Here is an 18,694-nt window from a genome sequence, read left to right as displayed (position 1 = left end):
GAATTCATTTACAATTCCTTTTTTGATTCAAAATTGCATTTCTAATAGTAATCCCTAATATTGCATGTAGATTTAGTTTATTCGTTTTCACTTTAGAATATTATTTCATTATTTAGTCATCCTACCATTAATGAATATTTAGAGCCTTTCTAGATTTTTTGCTGTTCTGAATAATGCTGTTCTGAATATTCTTGTACATGTGCCCTACTATACATTTTCAAATTTCTTTATTATATACACACATCCAGGAGGTGATGCTGGGTCAGAGGGTGTATACTTACTCAGTTTTCCTAGGTAATCCCAACTGTCTTCCAAAAAGGTTGTACCAATTTATGTTCTGAAGCAATGTATAAGAGTTCCCTTGCTTCATATCTTCATCAATACATGGTATTGTCAAACTTTTAAATTGTTGCCATCCTAATGGATGTGAAATTATGTGAAATCTTTTGGTTTTAGTTTGCATTTTCCTGATTACTAATTGTAAGGCTGAGAATTTTTAAAATATTTGTTGGCCACTCATATTTCCCATTCTGTGAAATGCCTATTCATGTCTTTAGCCCATTTTTCTGTTAGATTCTTCATTGTTTTATTATTGATGTATGTGAGTTGTCGTGTGTATGTGTTAAATACTAATCCTTTGTTGGTTGTGTTTCAGATATCTCCTCACAATTTGTAAGTTGTCATTTCACTGCTTTTATGGTATCTTTGAAAAATGAAATTATTAATTTTAATGAATTCAAATTTATCCAACCTTCTTTTGTGATTTTCTTTATAGAAATCCTTCCCTACCCTGAGGCCATAAAGATATTCTCCTGGCTTTTCTTCTAAAAGTTTTTAAAATTTGCTTTCACATTTAAACCAAGCTAATTTTGTGCATGGTGTGTGTGAAGTTGGAATTGATTTTGAATTTTTCTATGGAAAATCAATTTTATTAGTATCTTTCTCCATTCATCTGCAATGCCATTTCTGTTCTATGTCAAATTTCCTTGCATGCATGAATCTATGTCTATAAGTCCGTTCTATGAGTCTGTCTATCCCTGTATGAATACCATACTGTATTAATTGGCTAACTTTATATAATTCTTGAAATCTGCATTACAACACCCACTACCCTTGTTTTTCTTTAGTAGTATCTTCTTCTCAGCCTTTTACTTGTTCATGAAAATTTTACAGTGAAATAGTCAATTTCCACTAAAACAAAAACTGTTAGGATTTGGATTAAGTTTCCATGGAATCCATAGATTAATTGAGAAGAATTAATATCTTTATAATATTGATGACTCCTATACATGATATGTTTCTCCACTTACTTTGTTATATTCTTCTTAAAATATGAACTATTTTACAATATAACTATCTTTATTTAATATATTGTGATAGTTTTAAAATTTTTCCCTAAATGTCTTTCAAATCTTTTTTAAATTTCTGAGAATCTTTAGATTTTCGTTGCTATTGTGCATCTGTAGTAGTCAGCCTCCAAAATAGCTCCCAGTGATCCTTGCCTCCTGGTATTCACACTGGTAAGTCTCCTCTCACACTGAATAGGGCTGACCTGTGTAACCATGGAAATGACAGAGTGTGACTGCTAAGTCTAAGCCATAAAAGAAACTGTGGTTTCTGCTTTGTTCTCTCTTGGATCCCTTGCTCTGGGGGAAGCCAGCTGCCACATTATAAGGACACTTGAGCTACCCTACAAAGAAGTCCATGAGGGGAGGAACTGAGGCCTCCCACAAATAGCCAGGATTAATTTGCCAGCCAGGTAGATGATCCATCTTAGAGGCTGATCTTCTGGTCTCAGTCAAGCCATCAGATGACTGCAGCCTCGGCTGACATCCTGTAAGAGACCCTGAACCAGACAAGCCAACTAAGCCATTCCTGAATTCCTGACCCTGTATGAGATGATAAATTGTTATTATTGTTTGATACAACTAATTCTTAGGGTAATTTGTTATGAAGCAATAGCAAACAAATAAAATATCATATATTTTTCTTAAATTAAAATTTCTTACTGTTTAGGCTGTTGTGTAAAAAAGCAAAAGACTTTTGAATATTGATCTCATACCCAGTAACCTTAGTGTCTTAATCAATTCAGGCAGCTGTAACAAAGTACCATAGACTGAGTGGCTTATAAAAAACAGAAACTTATTTCTCTCAGTTTTGGAGCTGGAAACCTGATACCAGGGTACCAGAATGGTCAAGTCGACCCATAGAATTAATCATCACACTCACTGAAAGGGCCACCCTTCAAGGCACCCTATGTGAGCTTCTGTCTTGCTTGAGGCCCCGGCTTTATCTTCATCCCTGCTGCAGTGGGCTCACTAAAACACAGGCCAGCGGCCACTAAGGAGCTCGTAAACCTAATCAGGGCTCCACCTAACATATTTTACTTTTACTTTTTTCCTGGCTGCTGAAAAATTCCCTTAATTTCCCACCAGCTCAGCCTCAGGCCAACATGAAAAAAAGTTTTATTGGGTTTTTGCTTGTTTGTTTATCTTAATATTCTACACCACATTTTTAAAGTGTACGGTACTGGGAAGAGTTTTATTTAAGGCCTAGTTCATTACATAAAAACTTCGAATTTTTAGTTTGAATATAAGCATATATTAGAATTTTTTAAAACACACTTAAAATACAATAAAATGTTAGAAAAAATGAAGAATATGTTAATAACTTTGGTTATAGAAGGCCTTCTTAAGCTAAAATTACAAAACCTATAAAGAATTAATATTGATTAATATATTTAACTACACAAGCTTTTAAAATTTTTGTGTGAAAACAACACCTTAAATGAAATTAAAAGGCCACAAAGCAACCAGAAGCAAATATTAACAATATATAATGAAAGATTATATAATATGTCATTAACTCATACAAGTCACTATAGAAAACACATAAAACCAATTAGAAAATGAGCAAAGGATATGGAGACAGTCCATAGAAGAGGACGCAAATGGCCAACAATTATATTAAAAATATGTATAATGTCACTGGTTATCAGAGAAATGCATATTAAAATAGTAAAGTATCATCTTTCACCCAACAGATGAGAATTCAAAAGACTGATAATATGTTAGATATTAATTATTAGTGGGAGTAAAAATTGATGCAGTCTTTTTGGAGGGCAGTTTAGCAATATATCTATTAAAATTTACAACATATTACTTTAAGGAGTTTTGAACAATGCTTGAAGGATGTACCATTCTCTTTCCAAATCCCCAGTAATTAGTAGTTTCTTTCTAGGAAACAGTGAGTGAAAGGGATCTGAACTCAAAAAGGCCAGTATCAGCTAGAAAGGTTTTTAAGAAAGTTTTCAAGTGTCTTATTTCATTTCTGCTGCTATAACAGAATACCTGAGACTGGGTAATTTACTTATTAATTAATTAATTAATTTTATTTTTTTTGAGATGTAGTTTCACTATTGTCGCCCAGGCTGGAGTGCAGTGGTGTGATCTCAGCTCACTGCAACCTGCACCTCTTGGGTTCAAGTGATTCTCCTGCCTCAGTCTCCAAAGTAGCTGGGATTACAGGTGCCCACCACCATGCCTGGCTAATTTTTGTATTTTTAGTAAAGACGAGGTTTCACCATGTTGACCAGGCTGGTCTTGAACTCCTGACCTCAGGTGAGCCAGAAACTGGGTAATTTATAAAGAGCAGAAATTTATTGACTCATGGTCTAAAGGCTGGAAAGTCTAAGAGCATGGTGCTGGCATCTAGCAAGGGTCTTCTTTCTGTATCACTTCATGGCAGAAGGTAGAAGGGCAAGAGAGAGTGAGAGTAAGACAGCAACAGAGCAAAATACTGTACTTATAGCCTCAAACCTTTTATAATTGGCGTTAATTCATTCATGATGGTGAGCCCTCATGACATAAATGCCTCCCATTAGACCCCACCTCCCAATGCTGTTGCATTAGGTATTAATTTGCTAACACATGAACCTGGGGGGACACATTCAAACTATAACATCAAGATAACATTAAGTTTTCAGATATTACCCCCTCTGGTTCCTTAGCACTTGGATAATGAGGTGATTCTCCTCTTTAACTGGTGAACTGAGTCCATGGAACAGATGGATGTCATGAAGTCTATCACCTTGACTATGACATGGTCACTGATTCTTTTGATGTGATCCACCTCTCCCTTTTTGAACAAGATGATAGACAGTAATGGCATCTATTAACAATATTTTCTTTCTCATTTGGAGTACTGGAGGTGGCTTCTTCTTATTTACTGACAGAGGTATTGCAAAGTAGCAAGCATGCAAAAATCCTTAAGGCATAATACAAATACATGGAAAAGGGCTTGGAAGCATACTGTCTATTCTGCTATCCAGTGGGAAAAGATTGCTAGAGATGTTAAAGGAGGTCATATGTTCATCTTATGGTCATAAAACATATAAATTATCCCCTTGAACGTGAACTATCTAGGTCTTGCTGTGCCAGCCTTCCCTAGTACAGTTTAGTAAATCCATTTGGTTTACAAATAAAAAGAGATCGTGCGACAAATGACCAAGAAAGCCCCTTCCTCAAGATTTTCCCCAGCACCTATATGTACCTTTTAACCCAATAAGTCAACCTCTAAGAGTGTATCATAAAAAAAAAAATTGTGTATGTCCAAAAGAAGCACATACAAAGATGAACATTCATGCTTTATTGTTTCTAACAGTAAAATTCTAAAACAGCCTATGTAACCATCAACCGAGGAGAAGTTACATATGTTTGAAATAGATTTTCATTCCTCTGTGCTATGGAATAGTTTGCAGCAACTAAAAAGAGAATGAGAGAGGTGTATGTATAGTGACTTAAAAAAGGGTATAAGTTAAATATAGGACCTCAAACTATAAAAATCCTAGAAGAAAATCTAGGAAATACCATTCTGGACATGAGCCATGGGAAAGAATTTATGACTAAGTCCTTAAAAGCAATTTCAACAACAACAAAAATTGACAAGTGGGACCTAATTAAGCTAAAGAGCTTCTGCACAGTAAAAGAAACTATCATCAGAGTAAACACAACTTACAGAATGGAAGAAATTGTTCACAAACTATGCATCTGGCAAAGGCCTGATATTCAGAATCTAAAAGGAACTTAAACAATTCAACAAGCAAAAATCAAATAACCCCATTGTGAAATGGGCAAAAGGCAAGAACAGACATTTCTGAAAAAAAAAAAAAAAGATATACAAGCAGCCAACAAACATATGAAAAAAATGTTCTTCATCACTAATCAACAGAGAAATGCAAATCAAAACTGCAATGGGAGACCATCTCACATAATCAGAATGGCCATTATTAAAAAGTCAAAAACACCAGATATTGGTGAGGCTGTGGAGAAAAGGGAACATATATACACTATTGGTGGGAATGTACATTAGTTCAACTACTGTGAAAATAAGTTTGAAGATTTCTTAACGAACTTAAGACAGAACTAACATTTGACCCAGCAATCCCATTGCTGGGTATATATTCAAAAGGAAACAATTGTTCTACCAAAAAGACACATGTACTGGCATGTTCATCACAGCACGATTCACAATAGCAAAGACATGGTATCAACCTAGGTACTCTTCAATGGTGGATTAGATAAAGAAAATATAGTACATATACAGCATGGAATACTACACAGCCAAAAAAAGAACAAAATCATGTCCTTTACAGCAACATGGATATCCTTTGCAGCAACATGGATGCAGCAAGTTAACACAGGAAGAGAAAATTAAATATGGCATGTTCTCACTTATAAATGGAGCTAAACATCAGGTACTCATGAACATAAAGATGGCAACAATAAACACTGGGGACTACTACACAGGGGAGGGTGGAAGGGGGATAAGTTGAATAACTAACTGTTGAGTACTATGCTCAGTATCTGGGTGATGGGATCATTAGTACCCCACACCTCAGCATCACGTAATATACCCAGGTAGCAAACCTGCACATATATCCCCTGAATCTAAAATAAAAGTTAAAGAAGGAAAAAAAAGGGGATATCTGATTAAGTTTTTTTTAAAAAAAAAAAGCAAGTTGCAGAACAGTACACAACAGCATGAAATCATTTAGGTTGAATATATGTACATGTTTAACCTAAATGATATTTCCTTTGCGTGTCTGTTATGCACACACACACACACACACACACACACACACTGACACATATCTATTTTAACAGATATATGATAAATATATGAAGTTGCATGGAGAAGGGGGGCTTGGAAGGCTATTCTCATACTATGCAATGGTAGAGATTGCCATGAAATGGTAATAGCGGTTTAAAATTTTTTTGTATCATTTTATGTTACAATGAGAATATCTTCATGTAGAACTTGAGTGATTAAACAATTTTTTCTTTATTTTAATTATTAGTATTATTTTTTTTTTTGAGACGGAGTTTTGCTTTTGTCATCCAGGCTACAGTGCAGTGGCACTATCTCAGCTCATTGCAACCTCCGCCTTCCAGGTTCAAGCGATTCTCCTGCCTCAGCCTCCCAAGTAGCTGAGATTACAGGTGCCCACCACCATGCCCAGCTATTTTTTTTTTTTTTTGGTATTTTTAGTAGAGACAGGGTTTCACTATGTTGGCCAGACTGGTCTCGAACTCCTGACCTCAGGTGATCTGCCCACCTTGGCTTCTCAAAGTGCTGGAATTACAGGCGTGAGCCACCACGCCAGGCCAATTTTCAATTTTTTATTTTAAATTTTCGTGAATACATAGTAAGTGTATATATTTATGGGATACAGGGATATTTTGGTATAGGCATGCAATACATAATCACATCGTGGAAAACTGGGTATCTATCCCTTCAAGCATTTATCCTTTATGTTACAAACAATCCAATTATACCTTTTTAGTTATTTTTAAATGTACAATTAAATTATTATTGATGATAGTCCCCCTGTTGTGCTATTAGATACTAGGTCTTATTCACTCTTTCGATTTTTTTGTACCCATTAACCATCTCATCCCCTACTACCCTTCACAGCCTCTGGTAACCATCCTCCTATTCTCTATCTTTATGAGTTTGATTGTTTTGATTTTCTCTGGTGGTACACTTTAATTTCTTGCTTTTTATTTTTTTGTGTATCTGTTGGTGTTGTTTGATTTAAGGTTACCATAAGGCTTACAAATCCTACCTTATAATACATTATTTTAAACTGATAACAACTTAACACTGATTGTATAAACAAACAAGCAAACAAACATGTAAAGAGAAAACTAATAAAAACTCTATACTTTAACTTTGTCCGCCCTGCTTTTTAACTTTTTGTTATTTCTGTTTATATCTTATTGTACTGTTTGGAAAATTATTGTAGCTATTAGTTTTTATTTGTTCATCATTTAGTCTTTCTACTTCAGTCAAGAGAGGTTGACACACTACAATTACAGTGTTACAATATTCTGTGTTTTTCTGTATGCTATTACCAGTGATTTTTGCACCTTCAGATGATTTCTTCTTCCTCATTAACACCCTTTTCTTTCAGATTCAAAACTCCCTTTAGTACGTCTTGTAGGACAGGTCTAGTTTTGATAAAATCCCTCAGTTTTTGTTTGTCTGGGAAGGTCTTTATTTCTTCTTCATCTTTGAAGGATATTTTCACCAAATATACAATTCTAGTACAGGTTTTTTCTCATTCAACATTTTAAATATGTCATGCCACTCTCTCCTGGCCTGTAAGGTTTCCACTGAAAACTCTGCTGCCAAACATATTGGAGCTCCATTATATGTTGTTTGTTTCTTTTCTCTTGCTGCTTTTAGGATCCTTTCTTTATCCTTGACCTTAGGGAGTTTGATTATTAAATGTCTTGAGATAGTCTTCTTTGGGTTAAATCTGCTTGGTGTTCTATAACCTTCCTGAACTTGAATGTTGATGTATTTCCCTAGGTTTGGAAAGTTCTCTGATATTATCCCTTTGAATATACTTTCTACCCCTATCTCTTTCCCTACCTCCTCTTTAAGGCCAATCACTCTTAGATTTGCCCTTTTGAGGCTATTTTCTAAATCCCGTAGGTGTGCTTCAATGTTTTTTATTCTTATTTTTCTTTTGTCTCCTCTGTGTATTTTCAAATAGCCTGTCTTCAAGTTCAATAATTCTTTCTTCTGCTTGATCAATTCTGTTATTAAGAGACTGATACTTTCTCCAGCATGTTGGTTGCATTTTTCAACTTTAGAATTTCTGCTTGATTCTTTTTAATTATTTCAATCTTTTTGTTAAATTTGTCTGATAAAATTCTGAGTTTCTTTGTGTTATCTTGAATGTCTTTTGAGTTTCCTCAAAACAGCTATTTTAAATTCTCTGTCTGAAAGGTCATATATCTCTGTTTCTCTAGAACTGATCCTTGATGCCTTATTTAGTTCATTTGGTGAGGTTATGTTTTCCTGGATGGTGCTGATGCTTGTAGATGTTCATTGGTGTCTGGAGGATGAGGAATTAGGTATTATTGCAGTCTTCACGGTCTGGGCTTTTTTGTGCCTGTCCTTCTTGAGAAGGCTTTCCAAGTATTCAAAAGGACTTGGGCCCCACACCTGATAACACTATGGTTTTTGCAGACTTGTAGAGGTACTGCTTTGGCAGTCTTGGATAAGATCAGGAAGAATTATCTGGATTACCAAGCAGAGGCTCTTGTTCTTTTTCCTTACTTTCTCCCAAACATACAAAGTCTCTCTCTGTGCTGAGCCATGGGGAACAGGGGGTGTCATGATGCAAGCACCCCAGAGGCCACACCACTGGGGCTGTACTAGGTCAGACCTGGAGCCAGCACAGCACTGGGCCTTATCCAAAGCCTTTCCTTTCTGGGTGACATGTTCCCCCAGGCCCTGGGCATGTCCAGAGATGCTGTCTGGGAGCCAGGGATTGGAGTCCAAAACCTCGGCAGTTTACCTGATGTTCTATTCTACTGTGGCTAAGCTGGCACTCAAACCATAATACAAAGTTCCTGCTCTTCCCTCCCCTTTCCACAGAAAGAGGAGCCTCTCCCTGCGGCCCTCTCCACCATCAGTCCATGGGGATTTCTGCCAGGCCATTACTGATGTTCACTTAAAGCCCAAGGACCCTTCCGTCAGCTTGTGGTGAATGCTGCTAGCCCTTGGACTCACACTTCAGGGCAGTGGGCACCCCCATCCCCACCCAGGGCAGGTCCAGAAATGCTGTCCAAAAGCCTAGACCTGGACTCAATGACCCCCAAGAGCTTGCTTGTTGTTCTACTCCACTGTGGCTGAACTGATACCTGGTACCTGATTTTTGGTTTTTGTGATGGTGCTTTTCTGTGTACAGATAGTTGTTAAAATTTGGTGTTCCAGCCAGGTTTGGGGGATAAATGGTCTAGGCTTCTATTCCCCCATCTTGCTCTTCCCCTCCTAAACACTTTTTTAAAAGAATTTGTATATATAAGAGAATAAGTTGGTTAGGATTAAAGGAGCTGGAGAAAGCTGCTTGACCTGGAGGAGGTCAAGAACCCAACACTTCACCCCATGCCTCCCAGAACTTAGATGCCAGCTAAGCAGACAAAGGAGAAAGGGGAAATTCTGAATTGATAGAGTTTATCAGAAATGATTTTTAAAAGATCAGAAGTAAGATTATCTGCAATACCCAGGCCAACAGAGATAAGTGGTAGGAGAACATCTGAAGTGAGGATTTGAGAGCAGAAGTTGTTGGATTCATGCATTCATTTTATAAAATTCCAAACACTTTTATCTTGCATTTACTATATGCTAGGCATTGTACAAAGGAATATTTAGAGATGAAAGCTGTATTTCCCTGCCCTCTAGAGGTTCACAGAAGAGTAAAAAAAACATGCATAATGCAGTGAGGTCAGTAACAGACCCAGTTATACCTAGTGCATCAGAGAAGTACAAAGTATGAAATGAGCTGGTCATGTTCCTCTAAGTGCAAGACTTGCCTTTCTGGCCCTCTGCTGTCCCCCAGGGACCACCATATATACTATTTAGTCTGGAAGCCAAGACTGACTCTGTGTGTGCCATACGCATCACATCAGGAACTATAGGACTTCTAGCAAAGTAGAATCTGTGCTGAGGGTGGACAACAAGGTCTCTTCCATAGTTAACAAAACTTTCTGAACTATAATGATATGAACAACAGGATTTTAATACCTTCAACCACCTCTCTACCACTATCACAGTTTCTATGATACCTTCAATTTCTTTCACAGAAATATCTTTCATTATGAAATTAAAGACCTGAAATTTTCAGACATGCAAATGCTGTCCAAAAGCTATTCACACTAAAGTACACAAAATCAATCTGTAGGCAATAAATACATAACAAATTAATGAATGACAAATAAAATCAGATCCTTCTGATTTTTGATAGCATAGGGTAAGGCAAAATGTACTGCTATCGCTGAGGCACATTTTGATATTTGCCAATGTGTTTTTCATTCTCCATATTTCCCTTTTGCTATGTAACTCCTCCCTCAACTTCAGACAGCAGAGGGTAGCTGCTTCTATGGCCTTGGGAAAGGAAGGTCACAACAGACAACAGAAAACAATAGAATCCATTTTCACTCTGCTTTTGAATTTCAAAATAGATTTTTTTTAATTCATGGCACAGACAATAGACTAAGAATGGGTTTTTGAGGAACACGGGCTAAAATTAATGCTATAAACATTTAATTTTGGGAGAATGCATAATATCAGAGTGAGTTTTCCTTGCTGTATTAGTTTTCTAGGGCTGCCACAACAGAATACCAGAGACTAGGTGGCTTCATCAACAGAAATTTACTCTCTCTCAGCTCTGAAGCCTGGGAGTCCAAGTTTAAGGTGTTGGCAGGGTTGGTTTCTGGTGAGACTTCTCTTCCTGGCTTGCAGACAGATGTCTCATTGCTGTGTCCTCAGGTGGGTTTTCCTGTACACACCATAAGCTCCTGGTATCTCTTCCTCTTCCCATAAGTACAACAGTCCTATGGATTAGTGTCCCACCCTTGCAAGCTCAGTTAACTTTAATTACCTCCTCACAGGTCCTATCTCCAAATACAGTCACGTGGGGGGTTAGGATTTCAACATATGAATTGGGTGGGTGGGGGGAGACACAATCCAGTCCATAACACTTCCTTATACTTGTTAGATCAGCTCTGTCCAAAAGCAAAACAGTGCAATTTAAATTTTTCTAGTGACCACATTTTTTAAAAAGTAAAATAAATAAGTGAAATTAATTGTAATGCTATACTTTATTTAATTCAACATTTCAAAAATACCATCTCGACATGAAATTATCAATATTTCACAATCTATTATTCATACTAAGTCTTTGAAATTGGTGTGCATTCTCACTCTCAGTACATCTCCATTTGGACTAACCACATTTCAATAGCTCAGTAGCCACATGTGACTAGTGGCTACTATATTAAACAGTGAAGTGTTAGATAATTCTCCAAGCTGAAGAGAGGGAAGGGTCAAATGAGAGAGTGACTTCAAGATTTGGCTGAGGCCCCAGGGGTGGGCAGTTGAGAGAGGAGTCACCACTTCTCAAGTAGGGCCAGGGTAAACAGGAAAGAAGAGAAGAAGGGGCAACAGATGTGTCTAAGACAGCCCCCTATGTCTCCACAGCTCCAGAGGGGCACAAGAGAACACCCAACAGCTTCCCATTTTCCTAAGAGGGGTGAGGATGTGGCTCAGGGAGAACCACTACAGTCAGGATAAGGGAGCTGCAGGCACTAGGACTGATGACTGGACAATGGGGACATTAGCAGCAAATGGCAGCCTGGAGGGGCATTGGGGGTCAGGAACCCAACACTTCACCCCACATCTCCTGGAACTTAGATGCCACCTAGGGAGATGAAGGGGAAGGGGGAAATTCTGAATTGATGGAGTTTATCAGAATTTATTCTTTAAAAAACAGATGATTACCTGCAATCTACTGAACTATATTTCTGTTATCAGACAGAATGGAAGCTTGAAATAGAGATTTCAAGTTCAGTAATAGAGATTTTAAGTTCAGTTTTGTGAATTGAAAACACAGGTCTGGCTACCTGGATCTGTGCAAAGGGAGCAGTAACTACCAAGAGCGGGAAAGGGTTCCTCCAAGAGCAGGGGCTTTGAAGTCACCTGGCAGTGTGGACTCCTTCAAGGACCCACGCCCAAGCAACCAGAGAGACTGCTGACCTAGGAAGAACCCCAGGGCCAAGCCTCTGTGTACACTATTCATTCTGACCTTACTTTTTTCCCCCATGCCTCAATTCTTCTCTGCTGTCTCCATGTTGACCCCTAGAATTTTCCTTCCCTTTTCATGGGTGCCCTGAGAGAGTGGGAGATGATGGGAGGCCATTTGGGCTGTGAAGATGCTGGAATTCAGTGCTCCAAGGCCAGAAACGGTATGCAGCAAAAAACAAAGAACTCCACCTAGCTCTTCATTTGATTTGATTGGCTTCTCCAACTCACACTCACTGCTTCAAAATTCCTGGGTTGTGGCTGGTTGCCTACTCCCTGGCACAAGACTTGTTAAGACTTTTCCCAAGGCCGAGGCTTCTGGGGAACAAAGTTTAAGGGGGCACTCACTCTCAAGCTGACCCCGAGAGTGACTGTCTCCTTTAATTTTGCACCCAAGGTGCCTCACTTGCCTCACCCTAGCTTAGGCCTCTCCCACCTGGAAATAAAAATTCTTCCAGCCCTTGAACCCTCCTGTGATCTGCCATTGTTCCCCAGCATCCCAGGGCTCTCCTCAATGCCCATGTCCTGGCAGAACACTGCAGATACCATAATGCTGCAGACTATCCCTGGTTATTATCCACCGGTGCGGGGAGCGGAGGAAACTGCCAGGAGGGATTTTTTCCAACTTGAAATTGTAGAATTATAGTTCTTTGGACCTAAAAGAACTTTAATGATCATATAATTTTATGAACCTACTGATATTGAGGAGTCTGAGGTTTTGTGTTAGTCCTTTTGTTTGTTTTACTTTGGAGATTCTTAGAGGACTATTAAAGAAAGTACTTCTGTAACCATGTTTTAGAGAGGAAAAGTCATTCCCAGGACTGTCACCTTTTGGGGAAAAATGGTAAAATCCATGTAACCAGGTCAACTAAAAACCTAGAGTTCCCAACAATCAGTGATACAATAATCACAGCATTGGTAATAAAAGAGACGTCATTAAAACAATATGTAATGAAACCATTTACATTTCTGTGATTGGGTTCAAGCAAATATCTCTCTGCCCTTAAGGACTAGACAGTACCAAGGTAATGTTAAAATAAATAAGTTGAAGTTAAAAAAAAAATTTGAAGTTTATAATTTGATCATGAAATCTCCAGAAGACCAAAATAAATAAAGTCAAGTAGGGCATATAAGTCTATATCCAAGCTTCATTAGAGACTGACACACTATTGCTCAGTGAGTCCAACATAGCAGTTTTTCCTCCAAACACCAGCAACTGGGCTCTATATTTAGCTAAGTAAGTTTCCCAATCCTAAGAAATCCATTCATATATGATGGTAATGAGAAAGCAGCTATCTAATGTTCTATTTACCCTAAATATTGTGATCTAATAACATTCAGGATTTGTAGACTTCAAAGCATTTAATAAGCACTTGATAAAATATCCTTCACAATCTGCCTAAGTCTAAAGATATCATTATAACATTTTATGTGTGGGATCTGATGCACAGACATTAAGTAACTCATCATCAACAGAGCCAGGGTTTGGACCCAGACATTCTAGGTCCCAGTCTAGTGACTACTTCATGTGGGCAGCCTCACTTCCCCTGCCAAGAAATGAGTCAGCTGACTAATCTAGTGGCAGAAACATCATTTTACTAATTCAATTTCTTTCCCAATTAATTCCATAAAGACTGAAGTATATCACATTAGAGTGGTCAAACGGAAGTGTTCGAATTCATATTTATTTATGATATATATATACATACATACATATAACGTATATGTTAAACTTCTCAGCTGCATAAATTTATTTCCATTTAATCTGAATTTTCCAAGAAACCTGACCTTATGTAAATATTTTTAAAGAGGAATTTAATTTAAAATATTAAATTAAACTAATTAAATAATACATCCTAATTAATTTTCAGAAAACATCCTTAAAGGACAGTTTGGAGAAAAATTAATTACAAAGGTGGCTGTCAATAATTGCTCAGTAATGTTAATTATCTATCTTCCCAAATTTCTAAATTATACTTCATAAAAATTAGTACATACCCCATCTGTAAAATTACCATTGAATCAATCTAGAGACTATGATTCAGATTTTACCTAATAAAACATACTAGTTCTTCTGTTCCTGGAGTTTTATTTTTTCTGATTCTAAATGTACAGGATGACACACCTTCTGAAATAGATTCTGCTGGTGTTTCATTTCCTTTGTTGCTATTCAAAATTATTGTCAAATTATCATATGACTTAACATAAAACTTTAAATAAAGTTGGCATTTTATTTATAATATGATGCTGGAGAGTCTGCTTATCAACTCTAAATTTGAAGCATCAAGAAATCAAATATAAAATACCACAGTGTTATTTATTAGCCATATAGCAAAGATTTACTACCTTCACTAAGCTATATAATTATTCATCCAAACCAAAGACACATTCAGCTTAGTCATCAGAAAGGTTAAAAGATAGGAGTCATTTTGCCAAGAGAGAACAGTAAAGCAAATCAGAAAATATTGATTTAATAGCAGGGACCTATGTTCAGGTGGATCTGGCTAGAAGTCAGATACAGGAGGACATCCATTTGTGGGGAGAGCTGCCACTTCTCTCTCATACTTCTGATTTAGCATCAAGCTTCATGTTAATACAAGAATTAAAAGAGCAAGCTAAAATGGTGTCAAGGAAGCCTGTTGTACACAAAACAGCATTATGTCTATCATTTTTAAATCAATACAAAAATTGAAAAGAAGAATGAAGAGCAAAAGCAGCCTTTTATCAATTTACTTAAGGGCAAACACTTGAAAATCACTGGAAAATCAGGTGAATCCATTCTGGGTAGCAAATTGGGAACTCTATTTTTTTCTTAGGATACCTCTATCACTGGCTGATTTGCAAAGCTAAATGGACTGTTCTGCAATTATAAAACCAGTACAACATTAAATGTTATCATTCCAGGAGCAGAATTTCTGTCTTAATAATCCAAGACTGCTCCAGCTGTCCGTTGGCTATGTCTGTGGAAAGGCACTGTTTCACTCTGGCCAAATAAATTAATATATCTACATCTCATTTTGCCTTTTTGTAAAATGTTGGTCTCCTCAGAAGCTGCTGGAAGAATTTATTGGATAATAATTACAAAAGGCTTTATAAGCCTGATGTTCTAGTTACATGCTAAATAATAATGATTAAAAATGGGATATCTGGCTGTATGTAGTGGCTCACACCTGCAATCCCAGAACTTTGGTGGGCAAAGGCAGGAGGATTGCTTGAGGCCAGGAGTTCATGACAAGCCTGGCCAACATAGCAAGACCCCATCTTTACATAAATAAATAGAAAGGGATATCCTTCAAAAGAAACTTGGAAGAAAAAATAAAAAAGAAACTGCTTTAGGATATATCCAAGAATGACTGAGACTCAGAAAGAAATTTTGGCTTAGATGTTCTGAGTAACTAGGGGATGGTGGGAAAGCTCTTTTTTTTTCCTCATTTTAGAAAGAAATATGGGAAGTCTTAGAATATGTAGGAAATTATTTATGACTGAAATAATGATGCCCTCTATATATTTGCATATATATGTGTATATGCATATATACATATTTTTAATAGGCAATATTACTATTTTTACTAGCAGCTTAGATTTTAAAAAAAAGTTTGCCCAAAATAGCCAAATAATTTAATTAAGAAGATATTTTAAGTTTTTTTTTTATTTTGAGATAGGTACTCGCTCTGTTGCCTAGCTGGAGTGCAATGGTGCAAACATGGCTCACTGAAACCTCCACCTCCTGGGCTCAAGTGATCCTCCCACCTCAGCCTCCCAAGTAGCTGGGACTAAAGGTGTGCACCACCATGCCCAGCTGATTTTTTTAAAATTTTTTATAGAGTCAGGGTCTCACCATATTGCCCAGCCTGGTCTCAAACTCCTGGGCTCAAGCAACCCTCCTTAATACACGGCCTCCGAAAGTGCTGGGATTACAGGTTTAAGCCACCACGCTCAGCCTAATCTTTAATTATTTTGAAAATCACCTGGGTTCCCTTCACGATTTGCTGGGTTCAGCCACACCCAAAAATAATGACCAGGATATGAGAAATTAGTTCAAATAAGATGTGATTATCATAATAAGAGGAAAATCAATATTAATTAAATTCAGAGAAAGATCTACAAAACAAATCCCAAAGTGCTGTGATTACAGGTTTAAGCCACCACACTCGGCCTAAACTTTAATTATTTTGAAAATCACCTGGGTTCCCTGAATGATTTGCTGGGTTCAGCCACACCCAAAAATAATGATCAGGATATGAGAAATTAGTTCACATAAGATATGACTGTTATAATAAGAGGAAAATCAATATTAATTAAATTCAGAGAAATATTAATTAAAACAGGTTGTGATGGAAAGCATTGGCCTCTGGAGTCAGACAGACCTGGGTTGGGAAACTGGCTCTGCCACTTGCAAGCTATATGGCTTTTGACAAATTACTTAACCCTTAAGTTTCCATTTCCTCACCTATAAAACAAGATAATACCTTCTTCATTGGGTTGTTACAAGCATTAAATGAGATTACATTTGAAGAGTGCTTTGTTCAGAGCCCGGCTGTCCATTAGGCCCTTAAAAATAGTAACTGCCCTCTTTTAGCTGAGTCCATTACCTAAGTGTAAATAACTAAATGATCCTATTTGAAAAAATCTTGTCCGGTGGTTCATTAACACTTTGAAAGACTCTGAGCAGATCAAGACTACAAGTGTTATAGATCACTCTTAAGGAATAATTGTTCTTTTAATCATAGTTTTTAAGGTGATATTAGTATTTCATGAATTTTATATAGGATATCCACTTTACACGTTTTCTCAATGCAAATATCATTGGGGTGTGTGGGTGTGTGTGTTGGGGTGTGTGTGTGTGTTTCTTCTTTTTTGACATAGAAACACTGACAGACAACCTGTGGGATATTTCACGTATTTTTAGGATGTTCAAGATGAAAAATCTGAGCTCTCACCTAGTCTAATAACTTCTCCTTACAGATGAGAAAATGGAGGCCAAGAGAGTTTGAGTAACTTGTTCAAAATAACACAGTGCTAGAATTGTGAATAAAACTCAACGTCTCTTGACTACCAATTCAATATTCTTTTAGTACCTTTAAATATTAAGACTTAAAAGGCAGTCCAACGTACTGCTGCTTTTTAAAAAAAACATCCTGATAAGAGAACTTAAATGTCTCCTTCTTAGGAGAATCATATATTATACATCTTTGTGTTCACACAGGGCCTGGCATTCTTCGACATTGTGAGTGCTCAGTACATATATTTCAAACGAATGAATAGATTTCAATTAAGGTTATAGTTTGTGTGACTCTTTTTTTCTCTTTTGGTATAACTTAACAAAACAGAATTTTGCTCTATGTAATTATTAGAAACTACTTTAAGTTTATGATGACATAGATAAATGAATCTGGAATTTTAAAAAATTATCTGACATTATGTAAAGGAAGGCTAACTGCCAGCATGGATGATACATACTAAATTTCCTTTTACAAAAGAGTGAAGGCTTTTTTTAGCTTTTTTTTTTTCCTGTTATGACTTCTTTATTTAAATTTTTTATTGTGGTAAAATATAAATAACTTAAAATTTACCACCTTAACCACTTTTAAGTGTAGAGTTCAGCGGCATTAAGTACATTCACAATGTTGTGCTGCCATTACCACCATCCATCTTCAGAACTTTTTCATCCTCCCAAATGAAACTCTGTACCCGTTAAACAATAACTGTCCATTCCTCTTTCCTCCCCCAGCCTCTGGCAACCACTACTTTCTACTTTCTGTCTTCATGAATTTGACTATCCTGAGTGTCTCAAATGAGTGGAATCTGATTATGTTTTGGTACTTATAAAACAATTGCCTGAAATTTTCGCATTATTTTCCTTATGTAGATTTAGCGTTGAACTGTGTCTCTGGAAGGTCACACATCCTGACAAAAACTGGAAAATAAGGTAACAAGATGTTGGCTTAATTATAGCACAGCTGAAAGAATAAACATACAATTTTAATCAGAGAAGTTATACCCATTGACTTGCATCACATTATTATAATTACAACAATCACCATTCTGACTGCCACAATATTGTACAAACACTAAAATTTATTATTTTAAACATAATGTAATAAAATGGGGGAAATGTTTGCATTCTAATATCTCACTAGAAAATCAATATTTATTGTCATGTGATTTTATCTACTATTTAATAAAAGAATTCTGCACAGAAAAAGGGCAAAAAGGAAAAATACCAAAACAATAATAGTAGCCTGGTTAGGGTGGTAGCAGTGTGAGCACTTCTTTCTTATCTTTAGTTATATTACTTCTGCAATAGAAAAAAAAAAGTTTTTACAAGTAAAAGGAGTTCTATAAAAGAAAGTCTAGCGAACATCTGTTATTCATGGCAGCCCAAATCTTTTGAGAAACCGCTCCACATTTTGATAATTCCCCACATTGTGGGTCCTGTCTTCCCAAAGTAAATTCTAAAAATTTAATATTTCTTAATTTTCTAGCCTCTAGAGTCAAGAATTAGGTCCTATAACTTAGTTTCTGGCTCTAGTTGCAC

Source organism: Homo sapiens, chromosome 3 (genome assembly GCF_000001405.40).
Source record: "Homo sapiens chromosome 3, GRCh38.p14 Primary Assembly".
Classification (NCBI taxonomy): Eukaryota; Metazoa; Chordata; class Mammalia; order Primates; family Hominidae; genus Homo; species Homo sapiens.
This window is presented reverse-complemented; position numbering follows the sequence as displayed.